Source organism: Homo sapiens, chromosome 5, assembly GCF_000001405.40.
Source record: "Homo sapiens chromosome 5, GRCh38.p14 Primary Assembly".
NCBI classification, from domain to species: Eukaryota; Metazoa; Chordata; class Mammalia; order Primates; family Hominidae; genus Homo; species Homo sapiens.
The window spans coordinates 180282460-180303189 of record NC_000005.10 but is presented as its reverse complement, the minus strand read 5'-3'; the positions used below and the strand labels follow the sequence as shown (position 1 = coordinate 180303189).

The 20730-nt window shown below is 49.7% G+C and overlaps 2 protein-coding genes and 1 long non-coding RNA gene across 15 annotated transcripts in view, besides 6 other annotated features; 2 read left to right on the top strand and 1 right to left on the bottom strand.

Annotated features, from left to right (window-relative positions):
* GFPT2 (glutamine-fructose-6-phosphate transaminase 2) overlaps window positions 1-2492 on the top strand; it is a 52639-nt gene extending 50147 nt beyond the window's left edge. Inside the window, exons 18-19 of the mRNA NM_005110.4 lie at window positions 606-767; window positions 1582-2492. Of these exons, the coding sequence (NP_005101.1) occupies window positions 606-767; window positions 1582-1626 (207 nt within the window). The 3' untranslated portion in view covers window positions 1627-2492. The remainder of the gene's footprint in view (window positions 1-605; window positions 768-1581) is intronic.
* Window positions 3645-4145: an enhancer, noted in NCBI's record as "H3K4me1 hESC enhancer chr5:179726045-179726545 (GRCh37/hg19 assembly coordinates)". NCBI's record gives its function as "activates a minimal SCP1, AML or CMV promoter by ChIP-STARR-seq in naive H9 embryonic stem cells {active_cell/tissue: H9 hESC(naive)}" and the evidence as "EXISTENCE:reporter gene assay evidence [ECO:0000049][PMID:30033119]".
* Window positions 7937-10958, bottom strand: LOC124901151 (uncharacterized). Its single transcript, XR_007059085.1, has 2 exons — window positions 10890-10958; window positions 7937-8219 (listed from the first exon to the last, which is right to left on the bottom strand). It is a non-coding gene; the product is annotated as an uncharacterized LOC124901151 (long non-coding RNA).
* Window positions 9987-10629: an enhancer, noted in NCBI's record as "H3K27ac-H3K4me1 hESC enhancer chr5:179719561-179720203 (GRCh37/hg19 assembly coordinates)". NCBI's record gives its function as "activates a minimal SCP1, AML or CMV promoter by ChIP-STARR-seq in primed H9 embryonic stem cells {active_cell/tissue: H9 hESC(primed)}" and the evidence as "EXISTENCE:reporter gene assay evidence [ECO:0000049][PMID:30033119]".
* Window positions 9987-10891: a biological region, named in NCBI's record as "H3K27ac-H3K4me1 hESC enhancer GRCh37_chr5:179719561-179720203".
* Window positions 10552-10891: a silencer, noted in NCBI's record as "silent region_16764". NCBI's record gives its function as "represses an Ori minimal core promoter by ATAC-STARR-seq in GM12878 lymphoblastoid cells {active_cell/tissue: GM12878}" and the evidence as "EXISTENCE:reporter gene assay evidence [ECO:0000049][PMID:35858748]".
* Window positions 10902-11271: a silencer, noted in NCBI's record as "silent region_16763". NCBI's record gives its function as "represses an Ori minimal core promoter by ATAC-STARR-seq in GM12878 lymphoblastoid cells {active_cell/tissue: GM12878}" and the evidence as "EXISTENCE:reporter gene assay evidence [ECO:0000049][PMID:35858748]".
* The window catches only part of MAPK9 (mitogen-activated protein kinase 9), a 58941-nt gene continuing 49317 nt past the window's right edge, over window positions 11107-20730 (top strand). For 7 of the 13 annotated variants that reach the window (NM_002752.5, NM_139070.3, NM_001364613.2 and 4 more), the window contains exon 1: window positions 11107-11342. The gene's annotated coding sequence lies outside the window, so the exon portion shown is untranslated. Of the gene's footprint in view, window positions 11343-11914; window positions 12153-16122; window positions 16216-20730 lie in introns of those variants that run through there. The other 6 variants (NM_001364608.2, NM_001364609.2, NM_001364611.2 and 3 more) reach the window with 2 other exon arrangements.
* Window positions 11402-11591: a silencer, noted in NCBI's record as "silent region_16762". NCBI's record gives its function as "represses an Ori minimal core promoter by ATAC-STARR-seq in GM12878 lymphoblastoid cells {active_cell/tissue: GM12878}" and the evidence as "EXISTENCE:reporter gene assay evidence [ECO:0000049][PMID:35858748]".

Here is a 20730-nt window from a genome sequence, read left to right as displayed (position 1 = left end):
GGCGCCATCTCGGCTCACTGCAAGCTCCGCCTCCCAGGTTCACGCCATTCTCCTGCCTCAGCCTCCCCAGTAGCTGGGACTACAGGCCCCCGCCACCACACCCGGCTAATTTTTTGTATTTTTTAGTAGAGACAGGGTTTCACCATGTTAGCCAGGATGGTCTCGATCTCCTGACCTCGTGATCCACCCGCCTCAGCCTCCCAAAGTGTTGGGATTACAGGCGTGAGCCACCACGCCCGGCCTGGAATTCATCTTTATTTCTTGGTTTGCTTGTCTAGGTTTTTGTTTTCTACCACTAGACTATGAGCCCCGCTAGAGTTAGGAGTGAGTCTGCCCCGCTCTCGGCAAGGCACAAATGGGTGCCAAATGATGCAGCAGGATGGCAATCTCCTTACCAGGGAAGGGGAAGAAACCCCCAAAAAGCATCAGACACTTTATCCTTTCCAAGCATTTGTGTCCCACACATACCACCTCACCCATGACTCCAGCAAATGCAAAAGAGGACTGTTCTCATCACAGTAATGTAGCTTCCAGATACTCTGTATGCATCAGGGATAGCTTCTTTCAGAGAGGGTCTATTTTATGATGCTATTTCTCTGCTCTAGGGTCGCCCCATTATACTGTGCTCCAAGGACGATACTGAAAGTTCCAAGTTTGCGTATAAGACAATTGAGCTGCCCCACACTGTGGACTGCCTCCAGGGCATCCTGAGCGTGATTCCGCTGCAGCTGCTGTCCTTCCACCTGGCTGTTCTCCGAGGATATGACGTGCGTCTAAAAACTGCACCTAACAGCAGAGAGGAGAGACATAACCCCAGAGTTCCTTTCTGTTCTTTAAATACTTGGAGTAAATAGTCATAGAGTAAATAATTTTATTTAAAGTAGCTTTCTTTTTTTTTTTTTTGAGATTGAGTCTCGCTCTGTCGCCCAGGCTGGAGGGCAGTGGCACAACCTCGGCTCACTGCAAGCTCCACCTCCTGGGTTCAAGCGATTCTCCTGCCTCAGCCTCCCGAGTAGCTGGGACTACAAGCACCCGCCACCATGCCTGGCTAATTTTTTGTATTTTTTGTAGAGACGGGGTTTCACCGTGTTAGCCAGGATGACCTTGATCTGACCTCGTGATCCACCTGCCTCAGCCTCCCAAAGTGCTGGGATTACAGGTGTGAGCCACCGCACCCGGCCCAGTAGAAGCGTACTTATGAACCATTCCTACCTTTCCTTCCCACTCCACCCTAAACAAATAAGTCCCATGGAATTCATATATATTCTTGCAAGAAAAGTTAATTTTTAACAGTACACACCAAGTTACCTGTGTTTAAAAGCATGAACCTTATTCTTTAAATCATGTTAACAGATCATGACACACATCAGGTGCACAGTAAATGTTTATTGAGGGACTAAACCTTATACGGTTAAATGAGGCTTCTGGACTAAGGAATCTGCCTCCAAGACGCAGGTCTCTAGGTTGGTGACCATGGTGAACATCTGTCTCTTGTTTTTAAGTACTCTGAAAATTGTCTGTGAGAGGTAGCATGTTGCTGAGATCTTTGGGGTCCTGAACAGTCACTTTCTTTCATTTTAGGTTGACTTCCCCAGAAATCTGGCCAAGTCTGTAACTGTGGAATGAGGCTGAGACCGTGACAAGACCATCACCACCTTTCATCTGATTCCAGACCTGTCCCAACAGCAGGGATGCTACATGGGAAGAGAAGTGGACATCCCACATGTTCTGCGTGCTCCTGTAGAGCTTGACAGCTTCCACGTGCCTTCTACCCAAGTGCTTTTGCTTACAGCAGATACTGTTTCTCTGTGTCCTGAAGTCGCCAGAGGAGAAGGGAATCATTGTTTACACATGGGGATCAGAGCAGACTTCTCCACTACTGTGCAATAGAGATACAGCTCTCTTCAGAGTAACTGTGAACCTTTTATAACCAACACTAGAGTTAGTTTTAAAAGACAAGATATTTATAATGACGACTGTATAGCTTTTAAGTTATTTTTCTAGTATGTGGCTTTCTGTAGCCGTGGTAACGGCCAAACTGTTCATCCTAGCTACCCATGCTCTGTGTCCAGGCTTGCTCCTGGCAGGTGGCATTCATCTCAGATGTGAGCACAAGGCATTGGCCCTCTGGACTCCTTTCTCCTTTTCTTTCCTCTCTAGGCTGCTCCTGAATCCTGTTCTCTGACATCCGTGGAGCCCCTCCTGCATCCACCTATGCCTCCTATAAGTCCAGTTGAAATCTCAGCCTCCTTCAACATTTTCTTCTCGTGTGTGGCCCACATCCCTCCACTTCTCCAACTTCTGTTTAATCTGATCACGGCTCTTTTTAAGCCCTGGCAGCATTTTGGTCCCTGCTCCTTGCCCATAGTAAAACAGCTTGAAATATCCCATGCAAGAGAGTAGTTTCAAGTGGGCAACTCTGCTCTCTATTTAAAAGCGTGCACAATCAAAAGTACTATGCAATTTTAGGACAATAAAGAACATACAGTTTTTTTGTGTGTGTTTGCATTTTGTTAACCTCATTCTTTTTGTGTACTTTGAATTTTGAGGACTGTGCAGGAGCTCGGCAGTGTTTGGAGGGGCAGCCCTGTTTGTTAGTAACATTGGCCTCGTCCACACCTGAGACCTATGGGTTTCTAGTAGGAAAAGGAGGGCTGTTGTCCAGGATACAACAAATCCAAGAGATTTGGGACTCAGCAGAGGGGCCACTGAACCTGGAAGGGGTTGGGCAGAACCTGTAGACAGCATAGAGGGGTGAAACTCTCAAATTTGTATTTTTTTCCCAATAAGGCTATTATAGTCCCTGGTTTCATTAATACAATCAGATGGAAAGATTGAAAGCCAGAGAGTTCTGAAGTTTTGTGAAGTCAGAACTTAGGCTTCCTACGTAAGTGCTGTCACACACAACCTGAATGATGTCTTCATGACAACGGGTGTGTGTAGCCCTAGTATCTCATAAACCCTGTCCAGGATTACCTATGGGCTACTCAGCAAATTTCCATCCTGTCCTATGCCCTCACCTGTATCATGGGCTGGAAACCTGGGAGCTACATTTCCAGTTATCCACCATCCTGTCCTATGCCCTCACCTGTATCACAGGGGCTGGAAACCTGGGAGCTACATTTCCAGTTATCCACCATCCTGTCCTATGCCCTCACCTGTATCACAGGGGCTGGAAACCTGGGAGCTACATTTCCAGTTATCCACCATTCTGTCCTATGCCCTCACCTGTATCACAGGGGCTGGAAAGCTGGGAGCTACATTTCTAGGTTATCCACCAGTGAGAGGCATTCATGGGAGACTTGGAAGATAGTTGAGTGGCAGAAATCATATTTTGTATTTATCTCTGGCAGAAGCAGATAGAAATGTTGCTTCAGCAAACGGGGTTCTGCTGTGGCCCTCAGGGGCTCCCCAAAACGCACCCACCTCAGCATGCCAGGCAGTGGTGACCATGAACAGAGGTCGCCTGTGGCTCCTCTAAAATCCCAACTCTGGAGAGCTGGCAGCAACCAGGTGCCACAGGGGCTTTTCCTGACTTCTGTCCTCCAGGCCCTGGGTCAGTCCCAGGGAAATGGCTAGAATAGTTTCTGTCCTACTAATCAATCCATGACCAATACAACTTCCAAGATTAGGAGACTACAAACTAGCCAGAACATTTTTCTCTGGACAAGACCTAGAAAGTGTATTTCATCCTTATGCCCAAGAGGCGACGGCCATTCTGACTTTTGTGCCAATTGTTCCCTTGCTTTTCTTTATAGTTTCACCTGTGTATCTATCCCCCAAATACACTGCCTAGTTCGAAAGTGGAGGGTGAGTGCATGCTGGCGGTGCAAGGAGAGGGCGGCACTGCCTCCACTAGACGGAGGTTCCAGGAGGTGAGCAGATCAGTCTCCAGGTCGTGGTCTGACCCCTGCTTCTCTGGGAACTGACAAGGCCCCTCCTGGGGAAGTCATGAGGAAGGTCTCGAGGAAGTCTTGGGCTCAGCACAGTCAGGCACCTGGTAGGGCCAAGGTGGGGACCACGCGCTGGACCTGCAGTGGAAATAGTCAGAGGGAGGGGGCTGACCTGTACGTCCTGCTTCTAAGCTCGCCACGGCCTGCCTCCAGCTCTCGGTGGGGGGAAAGCTGGAAACTTCTGTGAATGTTGTGCGTCCTCAGCAGAGGAGGGGAGCGCCCCTCGTCGGCACATGGCCAAGCCAAGTACCGCCAAGAACCTAGGCCAGGCTCTCCTGGGCATTTTGTCCCCGGGCTACAGATGGCCTGATGGAGGTGGGGTCTTGGTGAAGACAGTTCACCCCGTGGGTCACGCTGCTCAGTATGGCTCAGTCGCTCTCCACGTCTGGTGCAGAGCCATCACCTCAGGGTCACTTCTCGCCACCCTCCATGGGCCTCCCAGGCCATGTCTTCTGTGTTGGGTTCCTGTTTTTGTTTTTTTGTTTGTTTGCTTGTTTTTTGACAGAGTTTTGCTCTGTTGCTAGGCTGGAGTGCAGTGGCGTGATCTCAGCTGACTGCTACCTCTGCCTCCCGAGTTCAAGCAATTCTCCTGCCTCAGCCACCCAAGTAGCTGGGACTCTAGGCGTGCGCCACCACACCCAGCTAATTTTTGTATTTTTAGTAGAGACAAGGTTTCACCATGTTGGCCAGGATGGTCTCGATCTCTTGACCTCGTGATCCACCTGCCTCGGCCTCCCAAAGCGCTGGGATTACAGGCGTGAGCTGCCATACCGGCCTGGGCTCCTGTTTTCTGTATCTGTGTCTTCCTTCTTCTGAGTTTCCTTTTTTGTTCTGGTGAAGCCCATTCTTGAGAAAAGGTGCTTGAGAGGTGTCTTAAGTCAGTTCAGCCTGCTGTAACAGCCCTGGTGCCTTATAAAAATCCCACATTTCTTTCTCACAGTTCTCAACAGTGGGAAGTCCAAGATCAAGGCACCGGCAGATGTGGAGTCTTGGTGAGGGCCCATTTCCTGGTTTGTACAGAGCAGCCTTCTTGCTGTGTCCTCACATGGCAGAAGGGACAAGGGAGTTCTCTGGAGCCTCTTTGATAAGTGTACTAATCCCATTCATAAGGGCTCCACCCTCACACTCATCACCTCCCAAAGGCCTCACCTCCTAATAACATCACATGTGGCAGGGGTTAGGATTGCAACATATGAATTTGGGGAAACACAAATATTCAGGCCACAACAGAAGGCAAGTTTTTTGAGAATCTGCAGGTGTGGAAATGATTTTTTTATTTATACTTGATAGAGGGTTTAGCTAAACACACAATTCTAGGTCAGAAAAAGGTGTTCCTGCAGAATTTTAAAGGTAGTGCTTCATCGTCTTGTTCCCAGTGCTGCTATTGAGTCCAAAGTCTGATGTCTTTGTAGGTGACCTTTTGGTCTCTTTTTTGTTTCCTGTGTTCTGAAATACCACAAGTTGCCTAGAGCACATTTCATTTAGGGTTGATTGCATCTGGTAACTTTTGCCTTTCAGACTAGGAAATTTTCTTGAATTATTTTGTTGTGGATTTCTCTGTTTCTCTGTCTCTGGAGTGTCTATTATTCCCAGGGTGAAGCTGCTGGACTGGCCTCTAATTTCTTATCTTTTTTATCATTCATTTGTTGTCTTTTTGCCCTACTGAGAGATTTCAATTTTATCTCCCAACCTGCTACTAAGATTTTTCATTTCTGCCAACATGATTTAATTTTTCGAGGGTTTTTTTTTGCTCTGACTATATATATATATATATATATTTTTTTTTTTTTTTTTTTGAGATAGAGTCTCACTTCGTCACCAGGCTGGAATGCAGTGGCGTGATCTCGGCTCACTGCAAGCTCCACCTCCCGGGTTCACACCATTCTCCTGCCTCAGCCTCCTGAGTAGCTGGGACTATAGGTGCCCGCCACCACACCCGGCTAATTTTTTTTGGTATTTTTAGTAGAGATGGGGTTTCACCGTGTTAGCCAGGATGGCCTCGATCTCCTGACCTCGTGATCCGCCCACCTCGCCCTCCGAAAGTGCTGGGATTACAGGTGCGAGCCACTGTGCCCGGCCACAAACTTTTCTATTCTTCCCCATTTATTATTTCTATTAGAATGAACCATAGATATTTATTTTATATTTTGAGTCATGCCCAATACTATGTTAGTTTGTTGTTCCAATGGTTCCAGCAACAGCCACTGGGGGCTCTTTCAGTTGGCTCTTGTGTCTCTTTGACATAGCCCCATCTGTGTGTGTGTGTGTGTGTGTGTGTGTGGTAAGTACTTCCGTGTGTGTGTGTGGGGGGGTACTTCCGTGTGTGTACTTCCTTACGTGTGTGTTGTACTTCCTTGTGTGTGTGTGTGTGTGTGTGTGTGGTAAGTACTTCCGTGTGTGTGTGGGGGGGGGGGTAAGTACTTCCGTGTGTGTACTTTCTTACGTGTGTGTTGTACTTCCTTGTGTGTGTGTGTGTGTGTGTGTGTGTGTTGTAAGTACTTCCTTACCTGCACAACAATATTCTCCAGGCTCGTCTTGTCCATCCCCTGTCCCAGCCCTAGAATCAACCATTTCTCCAGGGATCCCTGGTTCCTTTTATGGCGAATGACATTAGAGAACAAGATCTGGGCTCTGGGTGTGTCAGCCACTGCTGAGATGTCATTGCTTCTAGGCCATCTCAGCTGACAGAGCAAGGCCATGTTGCATACACCTGTGCTGCATAATTTTTAAATGGCTGGTTCTTGTTTGAAGGATGCAATATTTTTTCATTCTCTCTGAAGCTAGCAGTAGTTTTATTTTTATTTTTTGAATTTTCCTTCTCCACAGAGTCTGTTTCTTTCAAGATGCAGTTTTTTGTCTTACTTTTCTTAGCCATATGACATGGAGCTGTCTGTTCAGATTCAAGGGGGGCTGACTGGAAGGTCTAAGGCATGGTAGGGCTGGTTGATGCAGGATTCACTGCTGGGAAATCTGGTGGGGGTGGGGGTGTCATAATGTTCATACCTCAGGTCTTCCCTTCAGGGCTGGTCAGACTTCTGGAGAACAGCTTGCTGGCTCCCTGCCTGAGGACAGTCCCAGCTGCTGGTGCTCTGGGGGATTCCCGGAGGAGGAGGGCTAAGGGCCACTGGGTTCAGCATTCAGTTATACAGCCCCCAAATAACCCTGTTTCCATACAGTGCCACACCCTCAGCTGCGCCCCAGCTCAGATGCCCTCATTCTAATCATCACCATGGAAGAAACTTCCAGACTTCTGCCTTTCCCAATTCTGCCCTTCCCTGCCATGTCCTCACATGAGCCTGTCTGCCCAGCATGGCTGACTAGTTCCAGAATGGAAGCCCTGTCTGGGGGACCATCAGAGTCCATTGTTGTGGGTTTTCAAACTCCATTTGGGCCTGCAGTGGCCTCCATGGCCCTAGAGTTTCCAGACCAGCTCTGCCCCTACCTCCCCTGGGTATGATGTTACAGGCACCTCCCAGTAAACGTCCCCATTGGTTTAAGTGCAGTTTAGTTTTCTACAACACACAGCTGGGACAGCCCCGACTTACACCCTCTAGCACATCTCTGGGTCCTTGTAGGGGAGAAGGGAAGATGTGGGTTAGTGCAATGGGGGGAGGGCAGGCAAAGTGTTGAGGGGACAGAGGCAGTCAGCATAAGGACCTACACCATCCCTGCTGCATGGGCCGCACCCAGCTCTTCCTGCTTCTGTCCTTCTCCATGCCACTTCCTACAGAACCAAGGCAGACAGAAGTGAATCCCTTGCCCAGAGGAGCACAGCTGACAAGAGTCGGATTGGAATCCAGGCCAGTCAAGGGTGGGGGATATCAGGATCACAGAAACCCGTTGGCACTGTGGCTGCATACACAGCTGGCCTCCGGACAGGTCCCCAATGCCCCAGGCACCCCTAGCTCCTCCACCCCGCTGTGCTCTTGTCTTAGTCTGTTTCTTATTCTGTTGCTTATAACAGAATACCTGAAACTGGGTAATTTACTTTAAAAAAGAATTTATTTGTTACAGCCCTGGGGGCTGAGAAGTCCAAGGTTGAGGGGCTGCACCTGGTGAGGGCCTTCTTGCTGCTGGGGACTCTGCAGAGTCCTGAGGGTGGCGCAGGTGTCACATGGCCAGGGGGCGGAGCATATTCACAGGCCAGCTCAGGTCTTCCTTCCTCTTCTAATGAAGTCACCAGTCCCACTCCGGTGATAACCCTTTAATCCATGAATCCATCGACAGGTTAATCCCAACCACGCTTAGAGGCCCCACCTCTCAGTACTGCCACATTGGAGATTAAGTTTGAACATGAGTTTCATTGAGGATAAACATCCAAAACAGCTCATCCCAAATCTAAATGTTTCTTAAATCAACTAATCAATTAAAAAAAGAAAACCTCTCTGGGCTGAACAAGGCGTATCAGTGAGCTAAAGCCAGCCTACATGCCTGGCAGTGCCAATCTACCTCAAGGTCCTCAGAACTCTCCAGTCCCCTCACCTTTCCCTAAGACCAGGTGACTTGTGGCTCCCTGAACACAGCAAGCAGGTCCTCACATCTGAGCATGTGGGCCTGAGCGCCCTTTCTGCCTAAGTCACAGGCCCAACACATCCTGCTCGGCAGCCTCAGCAACAACTTCCTCCTGCCCAGAAGGCCTTCCTCAATTGCTTCTCCCCACCATAGGCCGGATCAGGTGAGACGTGCTCACGTGTCACACCTGGTTCACGTATGTCGTGGCAGGATCTTTTCACTTGGAGGGTTCAACCAGGATTCTTGGTGCTGTTCCAAGGCCCCCCTCCCCACCCTGTCACCTCAGCTTTGTGTCCATAAATGTTCACTGTATTTCATAAACCAGAAAAAAAGCAGTGTCTCTGCAATAAAAAGAACTCTTACAGAAAACTTAGTGTGAGATATGTATAGCTGTGTACATATGTACACTGATTTTTGGTTACTCACTTGACATGATGTGAGTGCTATGAAGTTAGGCCTGGAGTGCTGGGAACTGGTGTCCCCTCTGTTTTTTTGTTTTTATTTTTTTGAGATGCAGTTTTTGCTCTGTTGCCCAGGCTGGAGTGCAGTGGAGCAATCTCGGCTCACTGCAACCTCTGCCTCGTGGATTCAAGTTATTCTCCTGCCTTGGTTTCCTGAATAGCTGGAATTACAAGCACCCATCACCACGCCCAGCTAATGTTTGTATTTCTAATAGAGATGACGTTTCACCATGTTGGCCAGGCTGGTCTCGAACTCCTGGCCTCAGGTGATCCACTCACCTCGGCGTCCCAAAGTACTGGGATTACAGGTGTGAGCCACCGCACCGCCTTCCTAATGAGAAGCACCCATCAGTGCTCCTTGGTGGAACCTCAGATCTGACAGCTAGGCTTTTACTCTTTTCCCATAATCCTCGATCCTGACAATTTCTGGTTTCCTGTTCTCTCTCATGCACTTGAGGCAGGTGGCAGGTGAGTCTGAGGTAGCGACAGGTGTGGGCCCTCCTCAATGCAGGCCACACTGTGACGTAGAATTTCAAGCAGCGATGAGCCATGCTCAAATTTAGAAAACTCCCTCTGGTGGCCAAGGGGGACACCATGCTGGATCCGTTCCTCTACCCCACCCCTCCTCTGAGGCTCTGGTGCCTCCAAGCGGCCTGGCCCAGACCTCAGTGCCCTTGGAACCTGGGTCACAGGCTAGCTGCCCTCCCCAAATTCTGCAACCACCCTTCACGCCACCCAGCCCCTTACCCTCCCCATCTGCAGAGTCCTGTTCCTTCTCCCCACTCTGGCCCTGGCCACTCTGTGGATCCTGGTATTGTGTTACTGCTGTTCTACACCACACTCACCATTTGTCAACCATTGTTCCCACTCTTCTAGTCCCCAAAGGCCGGCTCTCCACGGTTTTCCCCATGTGCCCAGCCTCAGTGCCTCTCTTCCTGCTTCACTTTTCAACGTAGATCTGGCAACATCCCAAGCCCCGGCCTCTCCCATCCTGTACGACCCCCAGGCCGCTGGTACCTGATCCAGCCTCAAAAGCAGCTCAGAGTCAACGGGTCCCAGTCCCTAGGGGGCTCTGAGCAAGAGACTCCTCGCCCCGCCCCCCACTCCTCTCAGAGGCTTGACTGAGCACCTCCCTTTTTTTTTTTTTTTTTTTTTTTTTTTTTTTTTTTTTTTTTGAGAGAGTCTCACTCTGTCACCCAGGCTGGAGTGCAATGGCGCAATCCCGGCTCACTGCAACCTCCGCCTCCCAGGTTTAAGTGATTCTCCTGCCTCAGCCTCCCGAGTAGCTGGGATTACAGGCGCCCGCCACCACGCCCAGCTCATTGCTTCGTATTTTTAATAGAGACGGGGTTTCACCAGGTTAGCCAGGCTGGTCTCGAACTCCTCACCTCAGGTAGTCCACCCGCCACGACCTCCCAAAGTTCTAGGATTACAGGCGTGAGCCACCGCGCCCTGCCGCACCTCCTAATTTTTAGATGTTGTCAACTAAGTGATCCCGCCACCAAGCGCAGTCTCCTCCTGCGTCACCGACCCACCGGGTCACCTGTCTACACACCGCCATCTCTTCGCACCCCCTCCCCCTCTTCGACCCGGCTTCTGGCCTCACCCACACCCCCATAGACCCGTTCCTCCGGCGCCGCAGCGAGCAACCGAGTGCGAGGCCCGCCCCGCCTACCGGGCCCTAGCACGCCGGGCTCCCGGACGCCAGGCCGGCCTCCCCCCGCGATCGCCCCGGGCTCTCCCCGAAACGGGCGGGCTCCCGTGCCGCTCCAGTCGCCTCACCGCCACAAGCCTGCACCTGCAGCCCGAGGCCCGGCTCCCCGCGGACCCCGCGGTGTGAGCCCCGCGCGCCTCCAGCCCGGTTCCCGGTCCTCCGGGCCACCCTCTCCACCGAGCTGCGCCCCCCTCGCAGGGAGAGCGGGCTCAGCCGGTGGGCCGCGCAATGCCTGCGTCTCCAGCTCACCGCGTGCACTGCGCGCACCCGAGCGCCATGGCCACTCGGCCCGCGCCACTGAAAGGCCCGGGGGCGAAGAACCCGCGGAACCCCGGCCCAGGACCTCGGGCGCCCGACCCGGCCCCCGACCCCGCCCGCGCCACCCTCCATCGGCCCGCCCCCCAGGCGCCATTGGCCGCGCCTGCTCCGCTCTCCGCGCGCTGATTGGTCGGCGCGAGGGTCTGTCAGACCGGGCGCCGCGGCGGCGGCAGCGGCGGAGAAGGGAGCGGGACCGGAAGGGTCGCAGCGCCCCGGCGCCCCTCACACCCACTGCGGCGGCGGCGGCGGCGGCGGCGGCGGGGCGGAGCGGAGCGGGGCGGGCCGGCGGCGGAGCCGGGGCCGCGGAGCCAGGAGTGACTAGCACGCAGCGCCGCCAGTCCGCCCGCCCGCCCTCTCCCCGTGGCGCGGCGGCGGGGAGGCGAGGTGAGCCCGGCGGGCGGGCTAGGCCTGGCGGCGGCTGCTCGGGCCGGGCCCGCGGGGAGGGGCGGTGAGGGAACCGCGCGGCCGGGGGCTTCGGGGCGGGCCGGGGGCTGCGGGGCCCTGGCAGCCGCAGCCGTCGCCCCTGTGCTGGGGGATGCCGCAGGCGCCCCCTTCCGCCCGGCTGTCAGCAGCCCCGGGCTGCGGGCCTGCTCACCGGCCTGGCCCGGCCGACCTGCCCGTGGGGTCTGCGGGCGCCATCCCTCCCGGAGGTGGGGCAGACAGCTGCACTCCTGCGCCGGGTGCCCAGGGGCCCGGGGTCGCGTCCCCGCGACCTTGGCCAAGGCACTGACCCTCGCTCTGCCGCGGTTTTGCCTTCGGGAAGGTGGGGAAATGTCTCTTCTGGACAGGGTTGTTGTCAGGCTGTGTGAATGTATGCAGACGCCTGGGCAGGACCCCGGTGTGCATCTGTGGAAGACTGGGCAGGGTGCTGGCCCGTGCTGGTGTGAGTGGTGTAGGAACCCCCTCCCCACCCGCCCAGCCTCCCGCCTCCCCGCGCACTCCTCTCTTGCCTTGTCATTGCACACTCGGTGTCCAGCAGTGCCAGAGGGGACCCAGCCCGAATCCCTTACCACCGCGCCCCTCCCCCAGAAGACTGCTGCCCCGTCCCACTCATCTCGCCCGCCTTGAACATGCCAGCCCGCATTTGCCCCAGGACCTTTGCATTTGCTGTTTCCCCGTCTTTGGAGTTGTCTCCGTGATCTTGGCACAAGTAGCTCTTTCTGCTCCTTCCTCTGGTCAGATGTCTCGTTTTGGGTGAGGCCCTCCTCGACCACCCTCTTTCTTCCCTTAGTCATGCTATTTCATTATTTAAAAAATTTCCTTCCTAGCTCTCATCTGGTTTGAAACTATTCTATTTATTTGCCTGCTTATTTTCTGTCTCCCCGACTAGGATGTAACTTTGTGAAAACAGGTAGCTGTCTGATTTGTCCACTGCTTTATCCCCAGTGCTTAGAAAGCACACAGGAAGTATTCAGTAGTATCAGCTCAATGAATGAATGAATGATCAAAGAAATGGCCCAGCCTGCCTGTTGTCTCTGCTTTATCTGTTCATTTAGTGACTTCTGATTAGCGTGTGAAACTTGTAAGCAGATGGAAGCTTGTTCTATTTTGTGAAACATTTTGGTGTCCTTGACCCCTTTAATTGCTAACTGTTGGAACAAGCTGTGATATAAAATCTCACATTTTTATAATAGTTTAGCTGTAGCTTTCTTCCACACATACAAGAGACATTTACTGAATTCTGCATTATCTAGGTCATGCTTTCTGCTAGACCCTACGGACACAAGGCAGATAGCAACGGGGTCCCTTTCCCGAGAGAGCCCAGGAGCCCAGTAGAGAAGGCAGGCATGCAGACACTTAGTTCCAGGACTGTACAACCCTTGCTATAGGGGAGGGGCTATGCCATGGAAATGTGGAGGAGGTGACAGGTGGTGCTGGGGGGCCTTGAGGGTGATAAGAAATTTGCTAGGCAGGGAGAGGCACAGAGGTGTGAAGGAGCAGGGCCAAGGAAGGACCGTAGGCCACTGTGGAGTTGAGAATCAGTCTGGAGGGCCAGGTGTAAGGACACAGAGTCGTGGGGACCCTAAAGAACAGGAACCTTACCCAGCAGTTTTCTAGAAGAAGGTGGAATTTGGCTGGGTGCCATGGCTCACGCCAGTAATTTCAAGACACTTTGGGAGGCTGATGTGGGAGGATCACTTCAGGCCAGGAGTTCAAGACCAGCCTGGGCAACGTAGCGAGATCTGTCTCTACAAAAAATTTTAAGAAATTAGCTAGGTGTGGTGGCATCCACCTGTAGTCCTAGCTGCTTGGGAGGCTGAGGTGGAAGGATCCCATGAGCCCAGGATTTGGAGCCTGCAGTGAGCTATGATCACACCACTGTGCTCCAGCCTGGGTGACAGAGCAAGACCCTGTCTCTAAAAAGGAAGGCAGCACTCCACATTTGTTCTGATTTTTAAATGTTGGCAATAGCTAATTAAATTTTTTTTTAATGCTGTGAGCCAAGCCAAATACAGATTCATTCAGCTTGGTTGCAGGATCGTCATCCTCCAGGACTGGCTGTGTGGGAGGGAGGAGCTGTGAGGAGAGCAGGAAAGGTAGCCTAAGGCCAGGGGAGCCAGGCCCTGTTTGCCCAGGTGCCAGCCCAGATACTCATTTGATTGTAACTGGAGCCCTGTGGAAACGGAAGCTCAGGAGTCTAAGTAGTCTGTTTCTTAGCAAGCAGCTGGTGAGTGGAGTTCGAACCCAGATCACTTCCCAGATAAGGATTCTTTCCTGGGTCCCTCAGCTCTGAGTATTCTCTTTTGGCTTTTAACTTGTTCTGGAAGAATGACCACCAATCTATTTAATGTTTTCCTCCATTTAACTTTTTTTTTTCTTCAAAAGGATCCTGCAGAGTTAAAAACAATACTATTTTTGCATAGACTTCTCTTTTGACAGCTTTGATTTTCCTGGCAATTTAATTTTCAGGGTGCCAGGACTTTAATTTGTTCACAGATTAAAATCTGTTTATTTGGTCCCGTAAATAAACAACAGAGGGGATACTTGAATGTGTCTAAGATAAAATATTCTTAATTTTCTGGATAAAGAAAAGGACCAGACAAACCAGTTAATAGCGAGTAAACCAGTTGTTTTCATGAGGCATAAGATAAAACAGAGACCAGATTTTTTTTCTTCTTGAGACTATTGATTTGCCAATAGGGCAACTATTTTTGGTCTACATACATACAGTAGTTACACCTCACACTTGGTTAGGAAGGTGCCATTTTTACATAATTTTCCTTCAGAATAATTAATTCCTGATACTTTGTACTTGATTGTATGAACCAGTTTCAACATCATTCTTTTTATTTTAACTTTTATTATGGGAACTTTCAAACATATACAAAATAAACAGAATAGTGTCCTGCTTTAACAGTTATTAACTCCTGACCAATCTTGTTTCATCTCTAATGGTATCCACTTGCACCCTTACCACCCATAATTATTTTCAAGCAAATCCTAAATATCATGTCATTTCATTCATTATTTTTTGGGATACTAATTACACAGTGGGTGCCCAGTAAATGTTTGGTAAAGACAAAGCTAAATGGGAGAATAAATGTGGTAGGGTAGCTCGGAGCAGTGGGTAAGATCAGGACTTTGAGTCAGACTCCCAGTGGGTCTGCTGCTTATCTGGGTGATGTGCAGAAGCGATTGCACTCATCTGTAAAACATACGGGCACAACCTCAGGGTGCTCAGGAGGTGTACAGTAGTTATACTTCACACTTCGGTAGGTCTCTAAAGGTACTGACTCTTTTAAAGTTGAAAAAGTAATAATTGCTTAATATCATCAAATAACTAGTCAATATTCAAATTTCCAGCTGCCCCATGAATTTTAGGTTTCCTTAATAGTTTGAAAGTAGAGCAAGAGAAGGCCATACGTTGTTGATTGGATGATACGTCTTTTAAGTTTCTCTTAATCCATAGATCCCCCTCCTATTTCTTTGTTTTCTTGGTAGTTTATTTGTTGAAGCAATCGAGTTGTTCCTTAGCATTTCCATAGTTGGTATTTGATTGATTGCATCTCTGCAGTGTAATTGAATGTGTTTCTCTGTAATCTCTGTAAGTTAGTAATTGGATCTAGACGAGGCTTCGTCAGATTTAGGGTGCATTCCTGCATCAAGATGCCTTCCTAAGTGGGCTGTGCACTTCTTATCTAGAGGTACCCTGAGGCTCTCTGCTCGTCCGTGTTGCAGATGAGTGCAATCGCTTGCTGCACATCACCCAGATAAATAGCAGACCCACTGGGAGTCTGAAGTCAAAGTCCCGATCTTAACCACTGCTCCCAGCTGCCCTACCGCATTTTTTCTCCCATTTAGCTTTGTCTTTAACAAACATTTTTTGGGCACCCACTGTGTAATCAGTAGAGGATTGAGAAATAAATCAGACACATTTTCTGCCCTTACAGAGTAGAAGTGTAAGTAGACTCGGAATGCAATCTAAAGCGAATACTGGGAGGGTGGCAAAAATGGGGGCATGCCCAGCATGGTTTGAAGGGAAAGGCTGGAGGAGGAAACATGTAAGAGAAGCAAGTGCTTGAACTAGATTTTTGAAGGAGGGTGAATGTTGACCAGCAGGTCAAAAAGGGGAGGGAAGTCATTTCAAGCAGATGGAACAGCTTAGGCAGAGGCCTGAAGGTGTGCAGTAGCTGGGTGTGTCCGCTGATCCCAGGTGGTTTGATGTTGCCTAAGATTGGGCCAGAGGACTGCCATCTCCTGTGCTGTGCTAGGGAACTGAATCTTATTCTCCAGGCAGTCAGTCACTGTTGAAGGAGTTCAAATGGGAGAATGGTGTGATCACTGCACACTTTCAACAAATCTCTCTTTTTTCTTTCCATATTTTGAAATAATTATAGATTCACAGGAAGTTGCACAAATGGCACAGAGAGGTCCCAGTACCCTTCCCCCAGCTTTCTCCCACGGTTACATATTTACACAACTGTAGTAAAATGTCTAAACCAGGACATTGGGCATCGGAGCAAGGTGTATAGAGTTCATTGTCATTTTTTATCGTGTGAAAATTCCTATAACCACTACCACAATCAAGATTCAAAACTATGTCATCATCCCAGATATCTCCTTGTCCCACCCCCTTACAGCCACAGCAGCCCCTTTTCCCCACCATTCATAACTGCTGGCAAGTACTAATCTAGTCTGCATCTCTATACTTTTGTCTTTTCAGGAATGTTATATGCATGGAGTTATACAGGATGTGACTTTTTGAGATTGGCTTTTTTCGTTGACTATCCTGCCCCTGAGATCCACCCAAGTTGTGGTATGTTTCAGCAGTTGCTGAGTGGTATTCCATGGTATGGGTATACAGCAGTTAGTTTAACCATTTACCCATTGAAGGACAGGTTTGGGTTGTTTCTAGTTTGGCACTATTAAAAATAAAGCTGCTGTGAACATTTGTGTACATATTCTCACGTGGAGTGATTTCTCTTTCTAAAGTGGCATGTGTGCAGTGGTTCGGAAGTCACAGAAATGGTGGCTGGGAGAATGCTTCTGCTGTCGCTGGTCCAAGGAGCCACGAGAAGCCCTTACCCAGGGCCCTGGGAGTGGGGGATTGAGAGGGAAATAGGCAGGCCTGGGTGCCTGGAAGTGGGGCTGGTGACGGAGATCCTTGCAGGGTCCTATGGATCCAACAGTGGGTGAAGTGATAACCAAATGCTAGTTGTTCTGTATTGTGGTATATACTGTGGCTTAAGAACTACAGAGGATGGCCCTGAGAGCTGCAAGGTTCTTGATTATCAAAGAAAGATTACGTTGTTATACCAAGCTATTCTTCATAAGAATTACAGTAGGAGGCCAGGCGCGGTGGCTCACGCCTGTAATCCCAGCACTTTGGGAGGCTGAGGCGGGCGGATCATAAGGTCAGGAGATCGAGACCATCCTGGCTAACACAGTGAAACCCCATCTCTACTAAAAATACAAAAATTAGCTGGGTGTGCTGGCGGGCGCCTGTAGTCCCAGCTACTTGGGAGGCTGAGGCAGGAGAATGGCGTGAACCTGGGAGGCGGAGCTTGCAGTGAGCCGAGATCATGCCACTGCACTCCAGCCTGGGCGACAGAGCGAGACTCCGTCTCAAAAAAAAAAAAAAAGAAAAGAAAGAATAAAGAATTACAGTAGGAAAATAGAACTTTTTAAATTTTTACTATTTTTTTTTTTTTGAGACGGAGTCTCGCTCTGTCGCCCAGGCTGGAGTGCAATGGTGTGATCTTGGCTCACTGCAAGCTCCGCCTCCCAGGTTCACGCCATTCTCCTGCCTCAGCCTCCCTAGTAGCTGGGACTACAGGCGCCCGCCACCACACCCGGCTAATTTTTTGTATTTTTTTAGTAGAGACGGAGTTTCACCATGTTAGCCAGGATGGTCTCCGTCTCCTGACCTCGTGATCCACACGCCACAGCCTCCCAAAGTGCTGGGATTACAGGTGTGAGCCACCGCACCCGGCCAGATTTTTACTATTATTATTATTATTATTGTTTAATATAGAGTTGAAGCCTCACCATGTTGCCCAGGCTGGTCTGGAACTCTTGGGCTTAAGTGATCCTCCCACCTTCGGCCTCCCACAGTGCTGGGATTACAAGTGTGAGCCATCTTGCCCAGCTGGAAAACAGAACAATTTAATGAAAAAAATGTCGGCAGCAAGCATTGAGACAGAGGGTGATTGTGAGAATCTGCTTTTAATCACAATAGTTAGTTGATTTAAATATCGCATGTCCTGGGTACTCTGAAGCTTTAGTGTGATGAAAGGTTCACTTGAGTCTGTGGATCACTGAATCGTTGTCATCGTTAGAGGAAAAAGTGTTTTGGTAGGTTTTGGTAGGGGGAGTCAGCAAGGTGAAATGTGCAGGACTGTGTGCTGGTCCTGGCCAGCCCATGTGCAAATAGCTTCACTTTCTAAAGGGATATCAGAATGGTGCTTTGGGAGGAACTTGAATATTGTGGTGAAACACTCCTAAATTCAAATCTGAGCCATGCTGGGAATTTGGACAACTTCCTTACTGGACAACTTCCTCTAAGCCTCAGTTTCCTCATTTGCAGAGCGGGGATAGTAATATGCTTCTCACTAGTTGTTATAAGGGTGTTGATAAATGTGTACCTCAGAGCCAGGCCCACTCTCATGCCTCTAGCCTTATCTGCCTGAAGCCCGTCTTCCATACAAGTGTCAAATGATCATTCTGCAGCTTTTCATTTAACATGTGTTGTTTAATCAGTTTTTAAATGTGAAATATGTACATTTGAAAAACAGAATAGAAAGTTATAATGGGAAGAAAGTTTCTCATTTCCCACTATTTCTCTACTTGCCAGCATTGTGTATGTGCGTGTGTATGCGTGTGTGTGTGTTTACGTAGCTGGGCATTATGTGTTCTCTTCTTCAACTTGGTGTATTTCCTTTCTGTATCTTAGACATCTTTCCACATTGATACATAAAGTCCTTGCATTCTGTTGAATGGCCTTGTTGTACTTCTGTGCCATAATTTATTCAGTCCATCCACAGTGTGCATTTTAGATTACTTCTAGTTTTTTGCCTGTTACAAGAAGTGTTACAAACATGCTTGCACAAATATGTTTGGATACTTGTACACGTATTTGTCAGATACACTTAGAGAATTGTGTTTGCCAGTTTAGGATATGCAGTTAACATTTTTATTAGCCAGATCTATATTCCATCTAAAAAAATGTTTTACCACTTCTCAGCTCTCACTGACGTGTATGAAAGTGCCTGTTTCCTCATGCCTCGGTCGATACTGTGAACAAACTTGAGCTCAGGTCTTGCCTCCTCCAGGAAACCTCCTTGTAGCGTTCCCTCCCAGTTTTGAGTTGCTCATAGCCTGGAAGGGAGGCAGACCCTACAAAGGCTGTGACAGTGCAGCCTGGCGGGCGCTGCTGAGTGCACAAGTGGCAAGGAGGGAGCCCTGTGCTGGACGGATGGTGGCAGCACAGCCTGGGAGCTGAGGGGGAGGAACCAGCACCGGCTGGTGTGGGAAGTGGAGGCAGCGAATGCAGGCTTTAGTGTATTGCTAATGTGGTTTCATGAAGAATTCTTGTACTTCCCGATTTGTAAAACTGTTTTCTGAGCCCCAGTTGATGGTCCATTTTGTTGAAATATCATCTCAATAGAGTTGACTCATGAATAGCTAAATTACACACCTTCTCAGGTGGCCTTAAGTTTCTTTCTCTTGCTCTCACAAAGCCCAAACTTGACAGAGAAGGTGGCTTTAACAGGTTTTCACTTAGGTGACTTTTTTCTCCTGCATAATAAGGGTACCTTATTTTAATTTTATAATTATTTTAAATCTTTTTGTTTGTTTGTTTTTGAGATGGAGTCTCGCTGTGGCCCAGGCTGGAGTGGCACGATCTCAGCTCACTGCAATCTCCACCTCCCGGTTCAAATGATTCTCCTGCATCAGCCTCCCAAGTAGCTGGGATTACAGGCACGCACTACCACACCCGGCTAATTTTTGTATTTTTAGTAGAGATGGGGCTTCACCATGTTGGCCAGGCTGTTCTCAAACTCCTGACCTCAAGTGATTCCCCCACGTTGGCCTCCCAAAGTGCTGGGATTACAGGTGTGAGCCACCATGCCCGGACTATTTTAAATCTTGAGATGGAATTACAATTCTAAAACCTAATATGAGTGAATATACTCCCCAAATTTAAAAAAGTTAACCTAATATTGTCATAGTCCAAATATAGGTTGAAAGCAGTTATAGCAGGGAGAGTTGCAGAGTTGGTCAGCAGGGTTGAGATTGATCTGTCAGTCCCAACGTGGACACGGGGTCCTGAATGGGGGGTGGCTCTGTGCCATGAGGTAGTTAAGGAATCCAGCTGGTGGGCAGCTTTCCATCTACAGCATGTGACTTCCATCTCTGGGTCTGTGACAGCTGATCCCTCAGCCAGCAGCAAGGAAGAAAGATTGGAGGGCAAGCAGCTTTCTGTAAAGAAAAATAAAAGTGATCTGGAAGTTGCATACATCACTTCTACCCACATCTTATTAGTCAGAACTTGGTCATCTGGCCATACCTGGCTGCTGGGAAAGCTGCCAGGCGTCGTCTCTAGTTGGGCAGCCATTTATCTAGCAGGAAGGGGAAGGAAGGCTTCTCTTATGAAAGCGAGGAAGGGAGGGATGGATCCTGGAGCACCTCAGCGCCTGTGTCGCACCTCTGATGTTTTGACGGCTTCCACAGCCCTCAGGACTGAGGCCAGACGGCTCTGCGTGGCTTCTGGGGCTCATAGTGATCTGGCCTCCTTTTCTCTCTCCAGCTTCACTCGCCCTCTACCCAGCAAGTCCCTAGTGACTTGTCACATTCCGAATGTGCCTCCGCCTCTGCTGCTTCTCCTCCCATTCCCCCAAATCTTCTTCACCCTACTGGGTTTAGGACCCTTGGTGTGCAGGGCCTCCTCCTGAGTGTGCGCTCACTGAGGGCAGGCGAGTGTCCTGGCATGGTACCTCACCATCCACAGCGGGTGCTCAGTACATGCTTGCAAGTAACTGTGTTGCTGGTGTGTTGACGGCATAGCAGAGGAACAGCCACCCTCCGTAAAGCAGGTGGTAGTGGGTGCCTGCCTTTTTGCTGAGTTGTCTCTAATCCTTTGCACTTGTACCCCGCTAGCCAAGCTCAGCAGTTCGCTGTGTCTGGACACAGTCAGTTTGAGCTCTGTGGCTCTACTGTCCATCTCTGGCAAAAGAGTCTGAGGGCGGATGCCGCCTCCTCCTTGAAGCCGTCCTTGTCTTCTGCCCCTGCCAGTGGGTAGGATCTCTTTTGCCTTTTGATTTTGTTTACA